The sequence below is a fragment of the Homo sapiens genome, chromosome 2 (genome assembly GCF_000001405.40).
Source record: "Homo sapiens chromosome 2, GRCh38.p14 Primary Assembly".
NCBI lineage: Eukaryota > Metazoa > Chordata > Mammalia > Primates > Hominidae > Homo > Homo sapiens.
This window is the reverse complement of record NC_000002.12, coordinates 94761480-94783412: the sequence shown is the minus strand read 5'-3', so window position 1 is coordinate 94783412 and position 21933 is coordinate 94761480. Positions and strand designations below refer to the sequence as shown.

The window sequence follows — 21933 nt, the reverse complement described above, 5'->3', positions numbered from 1 at the left end:
ACTTGGGGGTGATGATTTAGGATGTATCTGGTGGAATGAATATCTAGGCAGCAAAGCACAAGAGGTGTCCTGCCTGCATTGCACAGCCTGTGTTCTTATGTGTGACCTAAGAAATGATTTCAAGTTGGAACTTCTATTTCAATGAGAAGTGGAGACCTAAAGTTTGCAAAATCTGCAGCCTGGCCAAGTCGTCAAAAAGAAAAGCTGATTTTCAGGGGGAAAATTCAAGACGGCTTAGGGTATCTGTATAAAAACAAGCCCAGTACAAATAGCCAAGACAATGGGAAAAAGGCCTTGAAGGCATTTCAGGTTCCTCTGCAGCAGCCCTTGCTGTCACAGGCCCTAGGGCCTGGCAGAGAAAAATGGTTTCCTGGGGAAGCTTCATGGCCTCATTGCTCTGTGCACCCTCAGGACACTGCTGGCTGCATTCCTGCAGCTCCACCTCCAGCCATGGCTCAAAGATGCACAGGTACAGCTTGGGTTACTGCTTCAGAGGTGGCTCCAAGCCTTGATGGTTTCCATATAATGATAAGCCAGCAGGTGCACAGAGTAAGAGACTAGAGGCTTGGGAGCCTCTGTCTAGACTCCAGAAGATGCACAGAAATGCCTGGATGTCCAGGAAAGAAGCTTTTCCAAGAGGCAGGGCCTCTTGGGAAACCTCTACTAGGGGAACAAAGAAGGGACATATAGGATTGAAGCCCCCACACAGGGAGGCATCATTCTCCAAACCCCAGATTCATAGACCCACAAACAGCTTGCACCCTCAGTATGGAAAAGCTACAGGCACTCAACACCAGCCCTGTCCATCAGGGCAGCTGCAGGGGCTGAACACTGCAAAGCCACAGGTGCAGATCTGCCCAAGGCCTTGGGAGCCCAGCCCTCACACCCCTGTGCCATGGATTTGGGACAGGGTTTCAAAAAGGATGATTCTGGAGCTGTAGGATTGAGTGACTGGCCTGCTGGGTTTTGGACATTTATGTATCCTATGAGTCCCATCTGTGTTTTGTGCTTCTTTCTAGCAATTTTTTTTTCTATTGGTTGAGAATGCTTACCCATTGCTTGTACAATCATTGTACTTTGGAAGTAGTTAAGTTGCTTTATAATTCAGAGACTCATGGCAGAAGGGACTGTAGACTTGTCTCAGATAAGACTTTGGGCTTTGGACATTTCAGTAAATGCTGGAGTGTGTTAAGATTTGGGGGACTGTAGGGAAGGCATCATTGTATTTTGCAATGTGAGAAAGACATGAGATTTGGGGGACCCGGGACAGAGTAATATGATTTGGCTCTGTGTCTCTCCCAAAACTCATGTGGAATTTTAATGGGGAATGTTAAAGGTGGGGGCTGGTGGAAGGTGATTTAATCATGGTGGAGAGTGGAGGTTGGATGGGAGGGATGGGGAGAGTTGGAGGGTATTGGGGGGGGTGGGAAGAGTTGGGAGGGATTGTGTTTGGTTGGGGTTATGGGTAAAAGGTGGGAGTGGGGGTGGATCCTTCACAAATGATTAAACACCATCTCCTTAATGCTGCCCTTCTGAGAGTGAGTTCTCTTCATGATTTTGGAGCTGTGAGATTGAATGAACACTGTCCTGCTGGGTTTTGGGTGTGCATTGGGCCTATGGTTCCACTTGTGTTATTTTTCTTGGAAATTTCTTCCCTTTGGATTGAGAAAACTTACCCAATACCTGTACCATCATTGTACCTCGAAATAAATGAATGCCATTTTAACTTCAGGGACTCATAGGCAGAAGAGACTGTAGCCTTGTCTCAGATGAGACTTAACTTTTCACATCTGAGTTAATGCGAGAATGAGTTAAGGCTTTTGGAAACTTTTGAAAAGGCATGATTGTATTTTACTGTGTGAGGAGTGCATGAGATTTGGGGGGATCAGGGTCAGCATAATATGATTTGGCTGTGTGCCTCTAGAAAAACACGTGGAATTATAATCCCAAATGTTGGAGGTGGGGCCTGGTGGGAGATTATTTAATCATGGATGGGAGGTGTGGGGGTGGGAGAAAAAAGGGTTGGGTAGGGTGGGGAACAGTAGGCCGGCTGTAGGGTGGTGGGAGGGTGGTGCGTAGTAGGAAGGGGGAGTAGCATGCTGCAGAGGCAGAGGCTGATGGAAAACCTCTACCAGGCCAGTGCACCTGTGGCTTTGCAGGCTTTAGCCCCCATGGCTGCCCTTATGGCCTGGGCTGGTATTGAGTGCCTATAGCTTTTCCATACTGAGGCTGCGAACTGTTGGTAGGTCTATGAATCTGGGGTCTAGAGGATGGTGGCCTCCTGCATAGCAACTCAAAGCCCTTGTTTTCCTTCTGCACTGCCATAGAACAGGATTTCCAAGAGGCTCTGTCTCTGCAGCAGGCTTCTGTCTGGAAACAATAGGGGGTGGAGGTGTGTTGTGGGGTGGCTCCTTCACCAATGGTTAAGCACCATCTTCTTGATGCTGACCTAGTGACAGTGAGTTCTCAGGAGATCTGGTTGTATAACAGGCTGTGATGCCTCTTTCCTCTCTCAGTCTTTCTCCTACTCATGCTGTATGAAACATTTCATTGCTGCTTTCCTTCTGGTATGATTGGGAGGTTTCCTGAGTCTTCCCAGAAGCAGAAGCCACCATGCTTTCTTTACAGCCTGCAGACCCATGAGCCAATGAATCCCCTTTTCATTATTACCACACAGAAAATAAGTACTGCAAAGTGGAGCTATGAAATATCTTCAAGGACTTTTCCCCATTGTCTTGGCTATCAGCACTGGGCTTCTTTTTAACGCAAATATCTGAAGCCTTCTTGAAGTTTCCCCTGGGGGAGAGTGGAGGGTATTAAGGGGGTGGGGAGAGTTGGGGGGGATTGTTTTTGGGTTTACGCGTGAAAGGCAGGAGTGCCAAACTGCAACAAAGATAGCTGAAAGTGTAAAGCAGTTTCAGAAGTGGGTAACAGCCAGAGGTTGGAGAGTTTGGAGAGCTTGAAAAAAGACAGGAAGATGAGGGAAAGTTTGGACCATTGTAGAGACTTGTTAAATAGTTTTGATTAAAATGCTGACAGAAGGAAGGACAGTGAAGGTCAGGCTTACAAGGTCTCAGATGAAAATGAGGAACTTACTGGGAACAGGAGCCAAGGTTACTTTTGTTTTGCTGTAGCAAAGAACGTGGCTGCAGGGCGATCTTGCCCTTAAGATCTGTGAAACTTTGAACTTGAGGGTGATAATTTAGTGCATATCTGGTGGAATGAACTTCTAGGCACCATAGCACAAGAGGGATCCTGTCTGCATCAAACAGCCTGTGCTCTTATGTGTGACTGAGGAAATGACCTCAAGTTGGAATTTCTATTTAAATGGCAAGCAGAGCTCAAAAGTTTGGAACATTTGCAGCCTGGCCAAGTGGTCAAAGAGAAAAGCTGATTTTCAGGGGGAAAATTCATGAAGCCTCCAGAAATTTGCATAAAATGGAGGCCAGTGCTAATAGCCAAGACAATGTGGGGAAAAGCCTTGGAGGCATTTCAGAGATGTTTGCAGCAGCCCTTGCTGTCACAAGCCCTGGGACTTAGGAGAGAAGAATGGTTTCCTGGGCCAGCCCCATGGCCCTGCTGCTGTGTGCAGCCTCAGGACACTGCTGCCTGCATCCCAGCAGCCCCAGCTCCTGCTCTGACCTTGGCTGAAAGATGTACAGGTACAGCTTGGGTCACTGCTTCAGAGGGTGCAAGCTATAGGCCTTGGTGACTTCTATATAGTGTTAAGCCAGTGGGTGCACGGAGCACTAGTCCAGAGACTTGGGAGCCTCCATATAGATTTCGGAAGATGTATGAAAATGCCTGGGTGTCCAGACAGAAGGCTGCCCAAGAGGCAGAGTCTCATGGGAAACCTCTACTAGGGCAGTGCAGAAAGAAAATATGAGGTTGGAGCCCCCACACTGGAGGCCACCATCGTGCAGATCCCAGATTCATAGACCCAACAAAAGTTTCATACCCTCCATGGGTTAAAAACTCCAGGCACTCAACACCAGCACAGCCCATGAGGGCAGCTGCGGGGGCTGAACACTGCAAAGCCACAGGTGCAGAGCTGCCCAAGGCCTTGGGAGCCCAGCCCTCACACCCTTGTGCCCTGGATGTGGGACAAGGATTTAAAAAGGATGACTTTGGAGCTGTAGGTTTGAAAAACTGGCCTGCTGGGTTTTGGATTTTCATGGGACCTGTAAGTCCCACTTGTATTTTATTCTTCTATCTGGTGAAAATCTTCCTTTTGGCTGGGGATTCTTACTCAATGCCTGGACAGTTGTACCTTGGAAGTAGTTAACTTACTTTGTATTTCAGAGGCTCAGGGGCAGAAGAGACTGCAGCTTTGTCTCAGATGAGACTTTGGGCTTCAGACATTTGAGTAAATGCTGGAATGAGTTAAGACCTTGGGGGTCTTAGCCAAGACGATGGGGAAAAGTCACTGAAGGCATTTCATAGCTTCACTTCACAGTACTAATTTTCTGTATGATCATAACAAAAAGGAGTTTAATTGGCTCATGGTTCTGCAGGCTGTAAAAAAAGCATAGTGGCTTGGGGAAATGGCAGGTAAGGCATCACTGTATTTTGCAAAGTGAGAAGGACATGAGATTTGGGGAGGCAGGGAGAGAATAATAAGATTTGGTTGTGTATCCCTACAGAAACTCATGTGGAATTGTAATCAAAATGTTAAAAGTGGGGCCAGGTGGAAGGTGATTTAATCATGGAGGGTGGTGGGTGTTAGAAGGTTTGGATTGGGGAGAATGGGGGGATTATGGTGGGGGAGAGGGGTGAGAGGTGGGGGTGGGGGTGATCCCTCACAAATGGTTAAGCACCATCTCCTTAATGCTTTCCTCATGATGGTGAGTTCTCGTGATGGTTTTGGAGCTGTAAGATTGAATGGATACTGGCTTCCTGGGTATCCATTGCATTGGCCCTGTGATCTCATTTGTGTTATTTTCCTGGTAACCCTTTACCCTTTGGATTGAGAAAACTTACCCAATGCCTCTACCATCATCATACCTTAAAAGAACTCCCTTTTAAATTCAGGGACTTATAGGCAAAAGGGACTGTAGCCTTTTCTCAACTGAGATCTTGAACTTTTTACATTTGAGTTAATGCTGAAATGACTTAAGACTTTTGCCAACTTTTGAAAAGGCATGATTGTATTTTACTCTGTGAGAAGGATATGATATTCAGGGGATCAAGGTCAGAATAATATGGTTTAGCTGTGTATCCCTACCTAAACTCATGTGGAATTGTAATCCCGAATGTTGCAGGTGGGGCCTCGTGGGAGGTGATTTATTCATGGATGGGAGAGGGGTGGGGCTGGAAGTACAAAGAGGTGGGTTAGGTGGGGAGGAGTAGGCTGGCTGTAGGGTGGCGTGTAGTGGGAGGGGAGTAGCCTGCTGCAGAGGCAGAGGCTCATGGAAAGTCTACTAGGGCAGTGCACCTGTGGTTTTGCAGGCTTTAGCCCCCATGGCTGCTCTCATGGGCTGGGCTGGTGTTGAGTGCCTGTAGCTTTTCCATACTGAATTTGGGAGCTGTTGGTGGGTCTATGAATCTGGGATCTGGAGGATGGTGGTATCCTGTGTGGGGGCTCCAAACCCATATTTTCCTTCTCACTGCCCTAGTAGAGGTTTTCCAAGAGGCTCTGCCTCTGCCTCAGGTTTCTGCTTGGAAACAGTCGGGGGTGGATATGGGGTGGGGGGCGGATCCTTCACCAATAGTTAAGCACCATCTTCTTGATGCTGATCTCCTCATAGTGAGCTCTCATGAGATCTAGTTGTATAACAGGATATGGCCCTTCTTTCCTCTCTCTGTCTTGCTTCTGCTCCTGCCATATGAAACATTTCATTGCCTCTTGGCCTTCTGGTATGATTGGAAGGCTTCCTGAGTCCTCCAAGCAGCAGAAACCACTATGTTTTCTTTACAGCCTGAAGAACTGTGAGTTAATTAAACCTCTTTTCTTTATGTACATACAGAAAATTAATGCTGCAAAGTGAAGCTATGAAATGCCTTCTAGGCTTTTCCCTGAATCTTTTGGCTATTAGCACTGGGCTTTTTTAAATGCAAATATTGGAGGCCTTCTTGAAGTTTCCCCTGATAATGGACTTTTCTTCTTTTACCACATTGCCAGGCTGCGACAAAGATAGCTGACAATGTAGAAGCAGGTTCCGAATTGGGTAATGGCCAGAGGTTAGAGAGTTTGGAGAGCTTGGAAGAAGACAGGAAGATGAGGGAAAGTTAGGACCATTGCAGAGACTTGTTAAATAGTCGTGATTAAAAGGCTGACAGAAGGATGGAGAGTGAAGGCCAGGCTTAGAAGGTCTCAGATGAAAATGAGGAACTTACTGGGGACAGGAGCCAAGGATTTTTGTTTTGTCTTAGCAAAGTAATTGGCTACACAGCGACCCTTCCAGGGAGCTCTGTGAAACTTTGAACTTGAGAGTGGTGATTTAGGGTGTATCTGGTGGAATGAACTTCTAAACAGCAAAGCTCAAGAGTTGTCCTGCATACATTGAATAGCCTGTGCTCTTACATGTGATCAAAGAAATGACCATAAGTTGGAACTTACATTTAAATGAAAAGCACAGCTTAAACGTTTGGAAAATTTGCAACCTGGCCAAATGGTGAAAAAGAAAAGCTGATTTTCAGGGGGAAAATCAAGAAGGCTTTGGATATTTGCATAAAAAGGAGTCCAGTGCTAATAATTCAAGACAATGGGAAAAAGGCCTTGCAGGTATTTCAGAGACCTTTGTAGCAGCCTTGCTGTCACTGGCCCTGGGGCTTAGGAGAAAGGAATGGTTTCCTGTGTGCAGCCTCAGGACACTGCTGCCTGCATCCCTGCAGCTCCAGCTCCAGCTCCAGCCATGGCTGAAAGATGCACAGGTACAGCTTGCATCACTGCTTCAGAGGATGCAAGCTCCAAGCATTGGTGGCTTCCACATAGTGTTAAGCCAGCAGGTGCACAGAGCACAGGACTAGAGGCTTCAGAGCCTGCATCTAGACTCTAGAGGATGTATCAGAAAGCCTGAGTGTCCAGCCCGAAGCTCTTCCAAGAGGCAGAGCCTCATGGTAAACCTCTACTCAGGCAGTACAGAAGAAGAGTATAGGGTTGGAGTCCCCATACCGGGATGTGCCATTTTCTAGACCCCAGTTTTGTAGACCCACCAACTGCTTGCACCCTTAGTGTTGAAAACTACAGGCACTCAACACCAGCCCAGCCCATGAGGGCAGTTGTAGGGGAAAGTTTCTGCAATGCCACAGGTGCAGAGCTGCCCAAGGCCTTGGGATCCCAGCCATCACAGCACCCTGTGCTCTGGATGTGAACATAGATTCCAAAAAGATGATTTGGAGCTGTAGGATGGAATGACTGGCCTGCTGGGTTTTTGACTTGCATGGGGTCTGTAAGTCCCATCTGTATTTTGTGCTTTTTGGCAAATTTCTTCTTTTTGGCTTGGAATGCTTACCCAATGCCTGTACAATCATTGTACCTTGGAAGTACTTAACTTGCTTTGTATTTCAGAGGCTCAGGGGCAGAAGGGATGACAGCCTTGTCTCAGAAGAGACTTTGGGCTTTGGACATTTACGTAAATGCTGGAATGAGTTAAGACATTGGGGGACTGTAGAGAACGCATCATTGTATTTTGCAGTGTGAGAAGGACATGAGATTGGGGAGGGGGGCAAGGGGAGAATAATATGATTTGGCTCTGTGTCCCTACCAAAACTCATGTGGAATTGTAATGAGGAATGTTAAACGTGGGGCTCGGTAGAAGGTGATTTAATCATGATGGACAATGTGGTTGGCAGATCCTTCACAGATGGTTAAATACCATCTCCTTAATGCAGTCTGTGTGATAGTGAGTTCTCATGATAAATGAATGCTGTCCTGCTGGGTTTTGGACTCGCATTGGGCCTGTGTCACAGTTGTGTTTTTTTTTCTGGGAAAATCTTCCCTTTGGATTGAGAAATCTTACCCAGTGCCTGTACATCATTGTAACTTGAAGGAAAAGAACGCCCTTTTACATTCAGGGACTCATAGGCAGAAGGGATGGCAGCCTTGTCTTGAATGAGACTTGAACTTACCGCATTTGAGTTACTGCTGGAATGAGTTAAGACTTTTGGAAACTTTTGAAAAGACATGTTTGTATTTTTCTCTGTTAGAAGGACATGAGATTTGGGGGTGTCAGGGTCAGAATAATATGGTTTCACTGTGTTTCCCAAAAAAACTCATGGGGAATTGTATTCCTGAATGTTGGAGGTGGGGCCTGGTGGGAGGTGATTTAATCATAAATGGGAGGTTGATAGTGGTGGAAGGAAAAACCAGTGGGTAGGGTGGGGAGGAGTAGGCTGGCAGTAGGGTGGTGAGAGGGTGGTAGGCAATAGAAAGGGGGAGTAGCCTGCTGCAGAGGCAGAGGCTTATGGAAAACCTCTACTAGGGCAGTGCACCTGTGGCTTTGCAGGGTTTAGCCCCCATGGCTGCTTTCATGGGCTGGGCTGGTGTTGAGTGCCTGTAGCTTTTCCATACTGAGAATGCAAGCTATTGGTGTGCTTATGAATCTGGGGTCTGGAGGATGGAAACCTCCTGCGTGGGCCCTCCAAGCCCTTGGTTTTTTTTTTTCTTTTTTTTTTTTTTTTCCTGCACTGCCCTAGTAGAGGTTTTCCAAGAGGCTCTGCCTCTGCCTCAGGCTTCTGCTTGGAAACAGTGGGGGGTGGGGGTGGTGGGGGCAGATCTTTCACCAATGGTTAAGCATCATCTTCTTGATGCTGACCTTGTGATACGTAGTTCTCAGGAAATCTGGTTGTATAATAGGGTGTGGCATCTTTTTCCTCTCTCTGTCTTGTTTCCACTTCTGCCATATAAAACATAGCATTGCTGCTTGGTCTTCTGGTATGATTGGGAGGCTTCCTGGGTCCTCGCAGAAGCAGAAGCCTCTGTGATTTATTTAAAGCTTTCAGAACCATGAGCCAGTTCAACCTCTTTTCTTTCTGATTATACAGAAAATTTGTGCTGTGAAGTAGAGCTATGAAATGCCTTCAAGGCCTTTTCCCTATTGTCTTGGTAATCAGTACTCAGCTTCTTTTCAGACAAATATCTGAAACCTGTATGAATTTTTCTCCTGAAATGGACTTTTCTTCTTTTACCACATGCCAGGCTGCAACAAACGTAGCTGAAAATGTAGAAGCAGGTTGACAAGTGTGTAACAGCCAGAGGTTGGAGAGTTTGGAGGTCTTGGAAGAAGACAGGAAGATGTGGAAAAGTTTGGACCAGTGTAGAGACTTGTTAAATAGTTATAATTAAAAAGATGACAGAAGGATGGACAGTGATGGCCAGGCTTAGAAGGTCTCACATGAAAATGAGGAGCTTGCTGGGACCAGGAGCCAAGGTCACTTTCGTTTTGCCTTAGCAAAGAACGTGACTGCATGATGCTCCTAACCTGGAGACCTGTGAAACTTTGAACTTGAGGGTGATGATTTAGAGTGTATCTGGTGGAATGAACTTTTAGGCAGCAAAGCTCAAGAGGTGTCCTGTCTGTGTCGAACAGCCTGTGGTCTTACATGTGACCAAAGAAATGACCTCAAGGTGAAACTTACATTTAAATGAGAAGGAGAGCTTAAAAGTTTGGGAAGTTTGCAGGTTGGCCAAATGGTCAGAAAGAAAAGCTGATTAGCAATGGGAAAGTTCAAGAAGATTTCAGAAATTTGCATAAAATGGAGTTCAGTGCTAATAGCCAATACAATGTTAAAAAGGTCTTGAAGGCATTTCAGAGACTTTTGCAGCAACCCTTGCTGTCACAGGCCCCGAGGCCTGGGAGAAAAGAATGGTTTCCTTCTCCAGCCCCATTGCCCTGCTGCTGTGTCCATCCTCAGGACACTGCTGGCTGCGTTCCTGAAGCTCTAGCTCCAGCCATGGCTGAAAGATGCACAGATACAGCTTGAGTCACTGCTTCAGAGGGTGCAATCTACAAGCCTTGGTGGCTTCCACATAGTGTTAAGCGAGCAGGTACACAAAGACCAAGACTAGAGGCTCGGAATCCTTCATGTAGACTCCAGAGTATTTACAGAAAAACCTCGGTGTCCAGGTCGAAACTTTTCCAAGAGGCAGAGCCTCATGGGAATCCTTTACAAGGGCAGTACAGAAGGAATATATAGGGTTGGAATCCCCACACAGGGAGCACCATTCTGCAAACACCAGATTCATAGACTCACTAACAACTTGGACCCTCATTGTGGATAAGCTACAGGTACTCAGCACCAGCCCAGCCCATGAGTGCAATTGTGGGGGTTAGACCCTGCAAAGCCACAGGTGCAGAGCTGCCCAAGGCCTTGGGAGCCCAGGGCTCACCACTGTGCTCTGGATGTGGGATCTGGATTTAAAAAAAAGTGATTTGGAGCTGTTGGGTTCAATGACTGGCCTGCTGGGTTTTTGACTTGCGTGGGGTCTTTTAGTCCCATCTGTGTTTTGTGCTTCTTTCTGGCAAATTTCTTCCTTTTGGCTGGGAATGCTTACCCAATACCTGTACACAATCATTGTACCTTGGAAGTACTTAACTTGCTTTGTATTTCAGAGGCTCAGGGACAGAAGGGATGGCAGCCTTGTCTCAGAATTCTGAGACTTTGGGCTTTGGACGTTTGAGTAAATGCTGGAATGAGTTAAGACATTGGGAAACAGTAGAGAAGGCATCATTGTATTTTGCAGTGTGAGAACAACATGAGATATGAGGGGGTCAGGGTCATAATAATAGGATTTGGCTCTGCATCCCTACCAAACTCATGTGGAATTGTATTGGTGAATGTTAAAGGTGGGTCCCAGTGGGAGGTGATTTAATCATGGAGAAGAGTGGGGGTTGGAGGTAGGGGTGTGAGGAGAATGGGGGAGATTATTTTGTGGGTGGGGGTGAAAGATGAGGGTGGGGGGGCCGATCATTCACAAATGTTTAAACAGTATCTCCTTAATGCTGTTCACATGACAGTGAGTTCTCTTGATGACTTTTGCAGCTGTGAGATTGAGTGAATACTGTCCTGCTGGGTTTTGGACTTGCATTGGGCCTGTGGGCCCATTTGTGTTATTTTTCTGGGAAATTTCTTCCCTTTGGACTGAGAAAGCTTACCCAATGCCCATACCATCATTTTACCTTGAAAGAAAAGAAGTCTGTTTTAAATTCAGGGACTCATAGGCAGAAGGGACTGTAGCCTTGTCTCAGGTGAGACTTTGAATTTTTTACATTTGGAATGAGTTAACACTTTTGGAAACTTTTGAAAAGTCATGATTGCATTTTGCTCTGTGATAAGGACATAAGATTCTGGGATATCAGAGTCAGAATAATATGGTTTTGCTGTGTGTCCCTATGAATCTCATGTGGAATTGTAATCCCTAATGTTGAAGCGGGTGACTTAATTATGGACAGGAAGTTGGTGGTGGTGGAAGGCAAAAGGGATGGGTAGGATTGGGAGGAGTGGGTTGGCAGTAGGGTGGTGGGAGGGTGGGTGGTAGTAGGAAGGGGGAGTAGCCTGCTGCAGAGTGAGAGGCTCATGGAAAGCCTCTACTAGGGCAGTGCACCTGTGGCTTTGCAGTGTTTAGCCCCTCAGCTGTTCTCATGGGCTGGTTGGTATTAAGGGCCTGTAGCTTTTCCACACTGAGGGTACAAGCTGTTGGTGGGTCCGTGAATCTGGGGTCTGGAGATTGGTGGCCACCTGTGTGGGGGCTCCAAGCCCATATTTTCTTTCTGTACTTCCATAATAGAAGTTTTCCAAGAGGCTCTTCATCTGCTGGAGGCTTCTGCCTGGTAACAGTGGGAGTTGGGGTGTGGGTCATATCCTTCACTAATGTTTAGGCACCATCTTCATGATGCTGACCTTGTGATAGGGAGTTCTCTGAGATCTGGTTGTATAATAGGGTGTGACATCTTTTTTCCTCTCGTGTTCTTGCTCCTACTTCTACCATATGAGACATCTCATTGCCCCTTGACATTCTGGTATGATTGGGAGGCTTCCTGAGTCCTCTCAGATGGAGAAGCCACTGTGCTTCCTTACAGCCTGCAGAATCATTAACAATTAAACCTCTTTTCTTTATGATCATAGAGAAAATTGGTACTGCAAAGTGGAGCTATTGAACTTTTGAAAAGGCATGATTGTATTTTACTCTGTGATAAGGACATGAGATTCTGGGATAGCAGGGTCAGAATAATATGGTTTGGCTGTGTGTCCCTGTAAAAATTCATGTGGAATTGTAATTCCAAATGTTGAAGGTGGGGCCTGGGGAAGATGATTTAATCATGGATTGGAGGGGGTTGGGGTGGAAGGAAAAGGGTTGGTTAAGGTGGGGAGGAGTAGGCTGGCAGTAGGATGGTGTGAGGGTGGTGGGTAGTAGGAAGGGGGAGCAGCCTGCTGCAGAGGCAAAGCCTCATGAGAAATCTCTACTAGGGCAGTGCACCTGTGGCTTTGCAGGGTTTAGCCCCTGCCACTGCTCTCATGGGCTGGGCTGGTGTTGAGTGCCTGTAGCTTTTCCATACTGAGGGTGTGAGCTGTTGGTGGGCTTATGAATCTGGGGTCTGGAGGTTGGTGGCCATCTGTGTGGGGGCTCCAAGCCCATATTTTCCTTCCACACTTCTCTAGTAGAGGTTTTTCAAGAGGCTCTGCCTCTGCATCAGGCTTCTGCCTAGAAACAGTGGGAGTTGGGGGTGAGTGGTTGATCCTTCAGCAATGATTAAGCACCATCTTCATGATGCTGACCTTGTGATAGTGAGTTTTCATGATATCTGGTTGTATAATAGGGCATGGCACCTTTTTCTTCTCTCTGTCTTGCTCCTCCTCCTGCCACATGAATCATCTCATTGCCCCTCGACATCCTGGTATGATTGGGCGGCTACCTGAGTCCTCCCAGATTCAGAAGCCACTAGGCCTCCTTACAGCCTACAGAATCATGAGCCAATTAAACATCTTTCCTTTATGATTCTAGAGAAAATTAGTAGTGCAAAGTGGAACTATTAAATGTCTTCAAGGCCTTTTCCCTATTGTCTTGGCAATCGGCACTCAGCTTCTTTTCATTCAAGTATCTGAAGCCTTCTTGAATTTTCCCCCTGAAAATGGACTTGTCTTCCTTTACCACACTGCCAGGCTGCGGCAAAGATAGCTGATAATGTAGAAGCAGATTCAGAAGGGGATAGCAGACAGAGTTCGGGAGAGTTTGGAGGGCTTCCAAGACAAGAAGATGAGGGAAAGTTTGGATCTTTGTAAAGAATTGTTAAATACTTGTGATCAGAAGGCTCACGGGAAAATGGTCAGTGAAAGCTAGACTTAGAAGGTCTCAGATGAAAATGAGGAACTTAATGGGAACAGAAGCCAAAGTTACTTTTGTTTTGCCCTAGCAAAGAATGTGGCTGCACAGTGACCCTGCCCTGGAGATTTGTGAAACTTTGAGCTTGAGGGTGATGACTTACTGAGTATCTGGTGGAATGAACTTCTGGGCAGCAAAGCTCAAGAGGTGTCCTGTCTCCATGGAACAGCCTGTGCTCTTATGTGTGATGGAGGAAATGACCTCTTGATGGGACTTACATTAAATGAGTCACAACTCGTACATTAAATGAGAAACAGAACTAAAAAATTTGGAAAATTTGCAGCCCTGCCAAGTAGTCAAAAAGAAAAGCTGATTTTCCGGGGGAAAATTGAGGAAGGCTTCAGAAACTTGCACGAGAAGGAGCCCAGTGCTAATAGGCAAGACAATAAGGAAAAGGCCTTGAAGGCCTTTCAGAGACCTTTGCAGAAGCCCTTGCTCTACAGGCCCTGGGGCCTAGGAGAGAAGAATGGTTTTCTGGGCCAGTTCCATGACCCCCCTTTATATGCAGCCTCAGGATACTGCTGCCTGCATACCTGCAGCTCCAGCTCCAGCTCCAGCTCCAGCTCCAGCCATGGCTGAAAGATGCACAGGCACAGCTTGGGTGACCCAAGCTACAGATGGTACAGACTAGAAGCCTTGGTAACTTCCTCACAGTGTTAAGTCACTGGTGGATGGAGCATGAGACTAGAGGCTTGGGATCCTCTCTATAGATTTTGGAAGATGTATGCAAATGCCTGGGTGTCCAGGCAAAAGCATCCCAAAAAGGCACAGCCTTATATGAAACTTCTACTAGGGCAGTGCGGAAGGAAAATATGGGGTTGGAGCCCCCACACTGGAGGTCACCATAATGCAGATCCCAGATTCATAGACCCCCCCACCCCCCGCCAACAACTTGTATCCTCAATGTGGAAAAGTCACAGGCACTCAATACCAGCCCAGCCCATGAGGACAGCCATGGGGCATAAACCCTGCAAAGCCATAGGTGTCAAGCTGCCCAAGGCCTTGGGAGCCCAGCCCTCACACACCCCTGTGCCGTGGATGTGGGACAAGGTTTCAAAAAGGGTGATTTTGGAGCTGTAGGATTGAATGACTGGCCTTCTGGGTTTGGAGTTTCATGGGGCCGGTAAGTCCTATCTGTGTTTTGTTTTCTTCTGGCAAAATTCTTCCTTTTGGCTGGGAATGCTTACCCAATGCCTGTACAAGCACTGTACCTTGGAAGTAGTTAACTTGCTTTGTATTTCAGAGGCTCATGGGCCTAAGCTACTGTAGCCTTGTGTCAGATGAGACTTTAAACTTTGAACATTTGTGTAAATGCTGGAATGATGTAAGATTTTAGGGGACTGTAGGGAAGGCATTGTATTTTGCAATGTGAGAAGGACATGAGATTTGGGGAGCCAGGGAGAGAATAATAAAATTTAGCTCTGTGTCCCTACAAAAACTCATGTGGAATTGTAATCAGAATGTTAAAGGTGGGGCCTGGTGGAAGGTGATTTAATCACAGTGGAGACTGGGGGTTGGAAGATGGGGGGGTAGGGAGAATGGGGGAATTATGGTGGGGGTTAGGGGTGAAAATTGGGGGTGGGGGGTGGGTCCTTCACAAATGATTAAACACTATCTCCTTACTGCTGTACTGTGAGTTCTCTTCATGATTTTGGAGCTCTGAGCTTGAACAGATACTGGCCTCCTGGGTTTTGGACTTGCATTGGGCCTGTGGTCCCATTTGTATTCTTTTCCTGGGAAATTTCTTTTCTTTGGATTGAAAAAGTTTACCCAATGCCTGTACTATTACTGTAGCTTGAAAGAAAAGAACATCCTTTTAAATTCAGGGACTCATAGGCAAAACGTACTGTAGACTTGTCTCAGATGAGATGTTGAATTTTTTACATTTGAGTTAATGTTGGAATGAGTTAAGACTTTTGGAAACTTTTGAAAAGGCATGAATATATTTTGCTCTGTGAGAAGAGCATGAGACTGCGGGGGATCAGGGTCAGAATAATATGATTTGACTGTGTTTCTTTACCAAAACTCATGTGAACTGTAATCCTTAATTTTGGAGGTGGGGCCTGGCTGGAGGTGATTTAATCATGGATGGGAGGGGGGCCGGGGGTGGAAGGAAAGGGGTGGGTAGGGCAAGGAGTAGGTTGTTAGTAGGGTGGTGAGAGGGTGGTGGGTAGTAGGAGGCGGGAGTAGCCTGCTGCAGAGGCAGAGGCTCATGGAAAGTCTCTACTAGGGCAGTGCACCTGTGGCTTTGCTGGGTGTAGCCCCCATGGCTGCTCTCATGGGCTGGGCTGGTGTTGAGTGCCTGTAGCTTTTCCATACTGAGGGTGTGAGCTGTTGGTGGGTCTATGAATCTGCAGTCTGGAGGGTGGTGGCCTCCAGTGTTGGGGTTCCAAGCCCGTATTTTCCTTCTGCACTCCCCTACTAGAGGTTCTCCAAGAGGTTCTGCCTCTGCAAGAGGCTTCTGCCTGAAAACAGTGGATGTGGTGTGGGTGGATCCTTCACCATTAGTTAATCTTCTTGAAGCTGATCTCCTGTTAGTGAGATCTCATGAGATCTGGTTGTATAACAGGGTGTGGCACCTCTTTTCTCTCTCTGTCTTCCTCCTACTCCTGCCGTATGGAACATCACATTGTCGCTTGGCCTTCTGGTATGATTGGGAGGCTTCCTGAATCCTCCCAGAAGCAGAAGCCACTATGCTCCCTTTACAGCCTGCAGGACCATGAGCCATTTAAACCTTTTTTAAAAATAATATTACAGAGAATTTGTACTGTAGAGTGGAGCTATGAAATGCCCTCAAGGTTTTTTTCCTTATTTTTTTACTATTAGCATTTGCCTTCTTTTATATGCAAATATCTGAAGCCTTCTTGAATTTTTCCCCTGAAAATGAACTTTTCTTTTTCCACATTGCCAGGCTGCCACAATGATAGCTGAAAATGTAGATGCAGATTCAGAAGTGGGTAACGACCAGACGCTGCACAGTTTGGAGGGCTTGGAAGAAGACAGAAAGATGAGGGAAAGTTTAGACTATTGTAGAGACGTGCTAAATAGTTACAATTAAAAGAGTGACTATAGAGACTTATTAAATAGTTACAATTAAAATGGTGACTGAAGGTTGGACAGTGAAGGCCAGGCTTAGAAGGTCTCAGATGAAAATGAACAACTTACTGGGAACAGGAGCCAAGGTTACTTTTGTTTTGCCTTAGCGAAGAATTTGGCTGGATGGTGCCCCTCCCTTGGAGACCTCCGAAACTTTGAACTTGAGGGTGATGACTTAGGGTATATCTGGTGAAATGAACTTCTAGGCAGCAAAGCTCAAGAGGTGTCTTGTCTGTATCGTACAGCCTGTGGTCTTCTGTGTGACTGAATAAATGACCTCAAGTTGAAACTTATATTTAAATGAGATGCAGGGCTTAAAAGTTTGGAAAATTTGCAGCCTGGCCAAGTGGTCAAAAAGAAAAGCTGATTTTCAGTGGGAAAATTCAAGAAGGCTTCAGAAATTTGCATAAAATGGAGCCCAGTGCTAATAGCTAAGACAATGTTTAAAAGGTCTTGAAGGCATTTCAGAGACCTTTGCAGCAGAGCTTGCTGTCATAGGCCATGGGGACTAGGACCGAAGAATGGTTTCCTGGGTTAGTCCCATGGTTGTGCTGCTGTGTCAATCCTCAGGACACTGCTGCCTGCATCCCTGCAGCTCCAGCTCCAGCTCCAGCTCCTGCCATGGCTGAAAGATGCACAGGTACAGCTTGGGTCAGTACTTCAGGGGTGCAAGCTTCAAGCCTTGGTGGCTTTCACATAGTGTTAAGCCAGCAGGTGCACAGAGCACAAAACTAGAGGCTTGGGAGCCTCCATCTAGACTCCAGAGTATGTACAGAAAAACCTGGGTGTTCAGGCAGGAGCTTTTCCAAGAGGCAGAGCCTCATGGGAAAACTTTACTAGGGAAGTACACAAGGAACATAGGGTTGGAGCCCCCACACAGGGATGCACCATTTTCCAGACCCCAGATTCATAGACCCACCAGCTGCTTGCACCCTCAGTGTGGAAAAGCCACAGGTGCTCAACACCAGCCCAGCCCATGAGGGCAGCTGTGGGGGATAGACCCTGCATGGCCACAGATGCTGAGCTGCCCAAGGCCTTGGGAGCCCAGCCATCCACCCCTGTGCTTTAGATGTGGGATGTAGATCCAGAAAAAATGATTTGGAGCTGTTGGATTCAATGACTGGCCTGCCAGGTTTTTGACTTGCATGGGGTCTGTAAGTCCCATCTGTGTTTTGTGCTTCTTTCTGGCAAAATTTTTCCTTTTGGCTGGGAATGCTTACCCAATGCCTGTACAACCATTGTATCTTGGAAGCGCTTAACTTGCTTTGTATTTCAGAGGCTCGGGGCAGAAGGGAAGGCAGCCTTGTCTCAGATGAGACTTTGGGTTTTGTACATTTCAGTAAATGCTGGAATGAGTTAAGACTTCGGGGAGCGAAGGCATCACAGTATTTTGCAGTGTGACAAGAATATGAGATCTGGGGGAACCCTGGTCAGAATAACATGATTTGGCCCTGTGTCCCTACCAATACTCTCATGGAATAGTGATGGGGAATGTTAAAAGTGGGGCCTGGCGGGAGGTGATTTAATCATGGAGAAGAGTCGGTGTTGGTGGTAGGAGAATGGGGGAGATTATTTTGTGGACGAGGGTGAAAGATGAGGGTGGGGTGCAGATTCTTCACAAATGGCTACACACTATCTCCTTAATGCTGTCTGTGTGATAGTGAGTTCTCTTGATGACTATGGAGCTTAAAGATTGAGTGAATACCGTCCTGCTGGGTTTTGGACTTGCCTTTGTGTTATTTTCCTGGGGAATTTCTTCCCTTTGGATTGAGAAACTTTACCCAATGCCTGTTGTACCTTGAAAGAAAAGAAATCCCTTTTAAATTCAGGGACTTATTGACAGAAGGGACTATAGCCTTGTCTCAGATGAGACTTTGAAATTTTTACATTTGGCATGAGTTAAGACTTTTGGAACTTTTGAAAAGGCATGATTGTGTTTTGCTCTGTGAGAAGGACATGAGGTTCTGGAGTATCAGGGGTCAGAATAATATGGGTTGGCTGTGTGTTCCTATAAAACTCACATGGAATTGTAATCCTTAATGTTGGAGGTGGGGCCAGGTGGGAGGCGATTTGATGTTGGATGGGAGGGGGTTGGGGTGGAAGGAAAAGGAGGGGTAGGGTGGGGAGGAGTAGGCTGTCAGTAGGGTGGTGGGAGGGTAGAGGGTAGTAGGAAGGGGGACTAACCTGCTGCAGAGGCAGAGGCTCATGGAAAAACTACTAGGACAGTGCACCTGTGGCTTTGCAGGCTTCAGCCCCCATGGCTGCTTTCATGGGCTGGACTGGTGTTAAGTGCCTGTTGCTTTTCCATACTGAGGGTTTGAGCTGTTGGTGGGCTTATGAATCTGGGGTCTGGAGGATGGTGGCCTCCTGTGTGGGGCCTCCAAGCCCATATTTTCCTTCTGCACTGCCATAGTGGAAGTTTCTCAAGAGGCTCTGCCTCTGCAGGAGGCTTCTGCCTGGAAACAGTGGGCGGTGGTGTGGGTGGAGGATCCTTCACCAGTGGTTAATCTTCTTGACGCTGATCTCCTGATAGTGAGTTCTCATGAGATCTGGTTGTGTAACAGGATATGGCACCTCTTTCTTCTCTCTGTTTTGCTCCTACTCCTGCCATGTGAAACATCTCATTGCCGCTTGGCCTTCTGGTGTGTTTAGGAGGGCCCTGATCAGTGTGGGCCTGCTCAGTGGACCTAGTCAGTTGGGACTTGGTCAGTGAGGCCTATTTAGTTGGGAGCATGGTCAGCAGGGGTCTGCATAGAGAGGGTCTCATTAGGGGGATCTAGTAGTGCAGGTCTTGGTGAGTGGGGACCTAGTGGCAGACAAATGTTTGGTGTCTGGTCAGTGCAAACCTGGGCTGTGGGACTTGGTCAGTGGTGACCTGGTCAGCTGGGGCTTAGTGGTGGCCTTGTCAGCATGGGCTGGGTGACTGGTGACCAGGTTAAGGGGTGCTACTCAGTGGAGGCCTGGTCACATGGGACCTAGTCAGCAGAGGCCCTTGTCAGTGGGGCCCTGGTCAGGGCAGCCTGGTCAGTGGAACCTAATCAGTGGGGGCCTGGTCAGAGAGGACTTGATCAGTGGTGGCTTTTGTAGCACTGGTCTACGGGGTGACCTGGTCTGTGGGGATCTGAGCAGTGCGTGCCTGTTCAGGGGGGCCTACTCATTAGGGTCCCGTTCAGGGGCATCTGGTCACCTCAGTCCTGGTTAGTAGGGGCCTGTTCACTGGCAGCCTATTCCCTGGAGGCCTGGTCAGTGGGGCTTCATCTGTGGGGCCAGGCAATAGGGTCATGATCGGTGGAACATGACCAGTGAGGCCTTGTCAGTAAGAACGTGGTCAGTGAGCGCTTGTCAGTGAGGCCTTTGTCAGTGAGGCCTTGTCAGTAAGAACATGGTCAGTGAGGCCATGTCAGTGAGGCCCCTGTCAGTGAGGCCATGTCAGTGAGATCTTGTCAGTAAGGACATGGTCAGTAAGGACCTGGTCAGTGAGGCCTTGTCAGTGAGGCCTGGTCAGTAAGGTCCAGGTCAGTGAGGTCTTGTCAGTAAAGTCCTGGTTTATGGAGTCCTAGTCATTGTGGGCGTGGCAGCGGGGGCCTGGTTAGTGGGGCCTGGTGATGGGGGTCTAATCACTGAGGATGTGGTCAGGGAGGACCTGATGTGCGGGATCTGGTCAGCAGGGACCTGGTCAGTGGGGACTGCTGAGCCCTGATGGGAGATGTCAGGGGAAATGCATGTTATCAAGGTCCCTGTGGACAGCTGGGATGGCCCAGTGGTGTCCAATGGCCCAGTCAAAAGTGGACAAAGCAGGTGTTTGGATGGACCGGGGAGATCTTGCTCAGAGATTCTCACAAGACAAACATAAAGGAAGGGCCAGAGTGGTCGGAGAGATGGTCACAGTCTATGGGCTGCACAGGATGGAGGAAGCCAGGGAACAGGCAGGGTGGGCAGCTGGGGTGCAGGGATAGGCAGGTGCATATTGGGAGATCAGACCCTGTGAGGGCTGTGGGGGCGTCAGGTGGGGTGGGCTCCAGGTGCACCTTCAGTGCACTGGGCAGGTCTCAGCCCAGGCTCCCTGGACCCTGGCCGAGTGATGTGGTCACTCCTTTGGGGGACTGCTGTCAGGCCCCGGCCACCCACCATGGGCAGCACTGTCCCATCTCAGGACTGGACTTCCTCAGATCCTGCAGAGGGCACAGCCTCCAGCCCAGGAGGGGCAGCCCCTTGGTGGAGCCTGAGCTCTCCATGGTCCTGGAGCATCACCTGCCAGCCCTGTGCTCCATTTTTTCCCAGGTCCCACATTTCCAGTGTCAGCCAGCAGGGAGGCCCAGTCCTCCCTTCCCTATGTGTCTCCTGGGCTGAAACTTGCGGCGCACTGGGACAGGGATGGTGCTTTCCTTAGGCCCATTTAGGGAGGGGACTGGTTCCCAGCCTGGCACAGGTCCTCAGCTCTGCCTTGATTGCCTTAGAGTGAGATGGATCAGTCAGTGCTCTGAAGGTAAATGTAAGAGACTGTCCCTGCTGTGTGCGAGGCTGGTCTAGGGATGGAGGACTTAACAGGTCCTCCCAATCTGTCAGGCCTGGACAGCACTGTCCTGTCTCAGGACTCAGAAAGTCCAGTCCTGAGATAGGAAGGTGTTGCCCAGGGTGGGTGGCTGGGGCCTGACAGCAGTCCCCAGGGAGTGACCACATCACCCAGCCGGGGTCCAGGGAACCTGGCCTGAGACCTTCCCAGTGCATTGAGGGTGCACCTGGAGCCCACTCCACCTGATGCCCCCACAGCCCTCACAGGGTCTGTCCTCCCAGCATGCACCTGCCTCTCCCTGCACCCCAGATGTCCACCCTGCCTGTTCCCTGACTTCCTCCATCCTGTCCAGCAGGATGGGCTGGGAAGTGGGAAAGCCTGTGTGCACATTTCGTGGCAAGTAGGAGTGACACACCATCCCTGGGAGGCACCTGCCAAACCCAACCCCAGAAGTCTCCCTGAGGTGGTTTTACCAAACCCATAACCCACAACTGTGATTGTGGTTTGGGGGTCAGCACCCGCTAGTGCCAGGGCACTACTGGGAAGCTGGGACCTGACCAATGCCCATGGTGTCTGTGGCCTGAGGACAGGGTGTCTTGGGGCCATGAGGACAGGCCACCAATGGCCATTGGGTCATAGGGCCTGAGCCCCAGTGTTTTTCCTTCCCTGGCTGCTTCTGGTTCAGTCCCATTCAGGGCCCTAGAGCCCAAGATGCAGCATCCAAGGTTCCCTCCAGAAATCCTGGTGGCTCGACTTATTTTGTCATGTTTCATCTGATAACAAAAATATCATATCAGCTGCACAGAAAAATGGCTCAAAGTGCTTAATGACTAGAAGAAATCGAGGAGCAGCAAGAAGGTAATGTGGAGAGGGGAGGACCTCCATGACCGGTGTCTGCAGAGCCAGGGGTACAGGCACCCAGTGCAGTGACCTGGCACCACCTGCCTCTCAGAGGGTGGGTAGCACACTGTCCTTACCTGGGGGACAGCAGGCCTGGCCACCG

The 21933-nt window shown here is 48.2% G+C and overlaps 1 pseudogene across 1 annotated transcript in view; it reads left to right on the top strand.

Moving 5' to 3' along the window:
* Nucleotides 1–21933, top strand: part of ANKRD20A8P (ankyrin repeat domain 20 family member A8, pseudogene) — a 96148-nt pseudogene that overhangs the window by 73663 nt on the left and 552 nt on the right. The gene's annotated exons all lie outside the window — the stretch shown is intronic.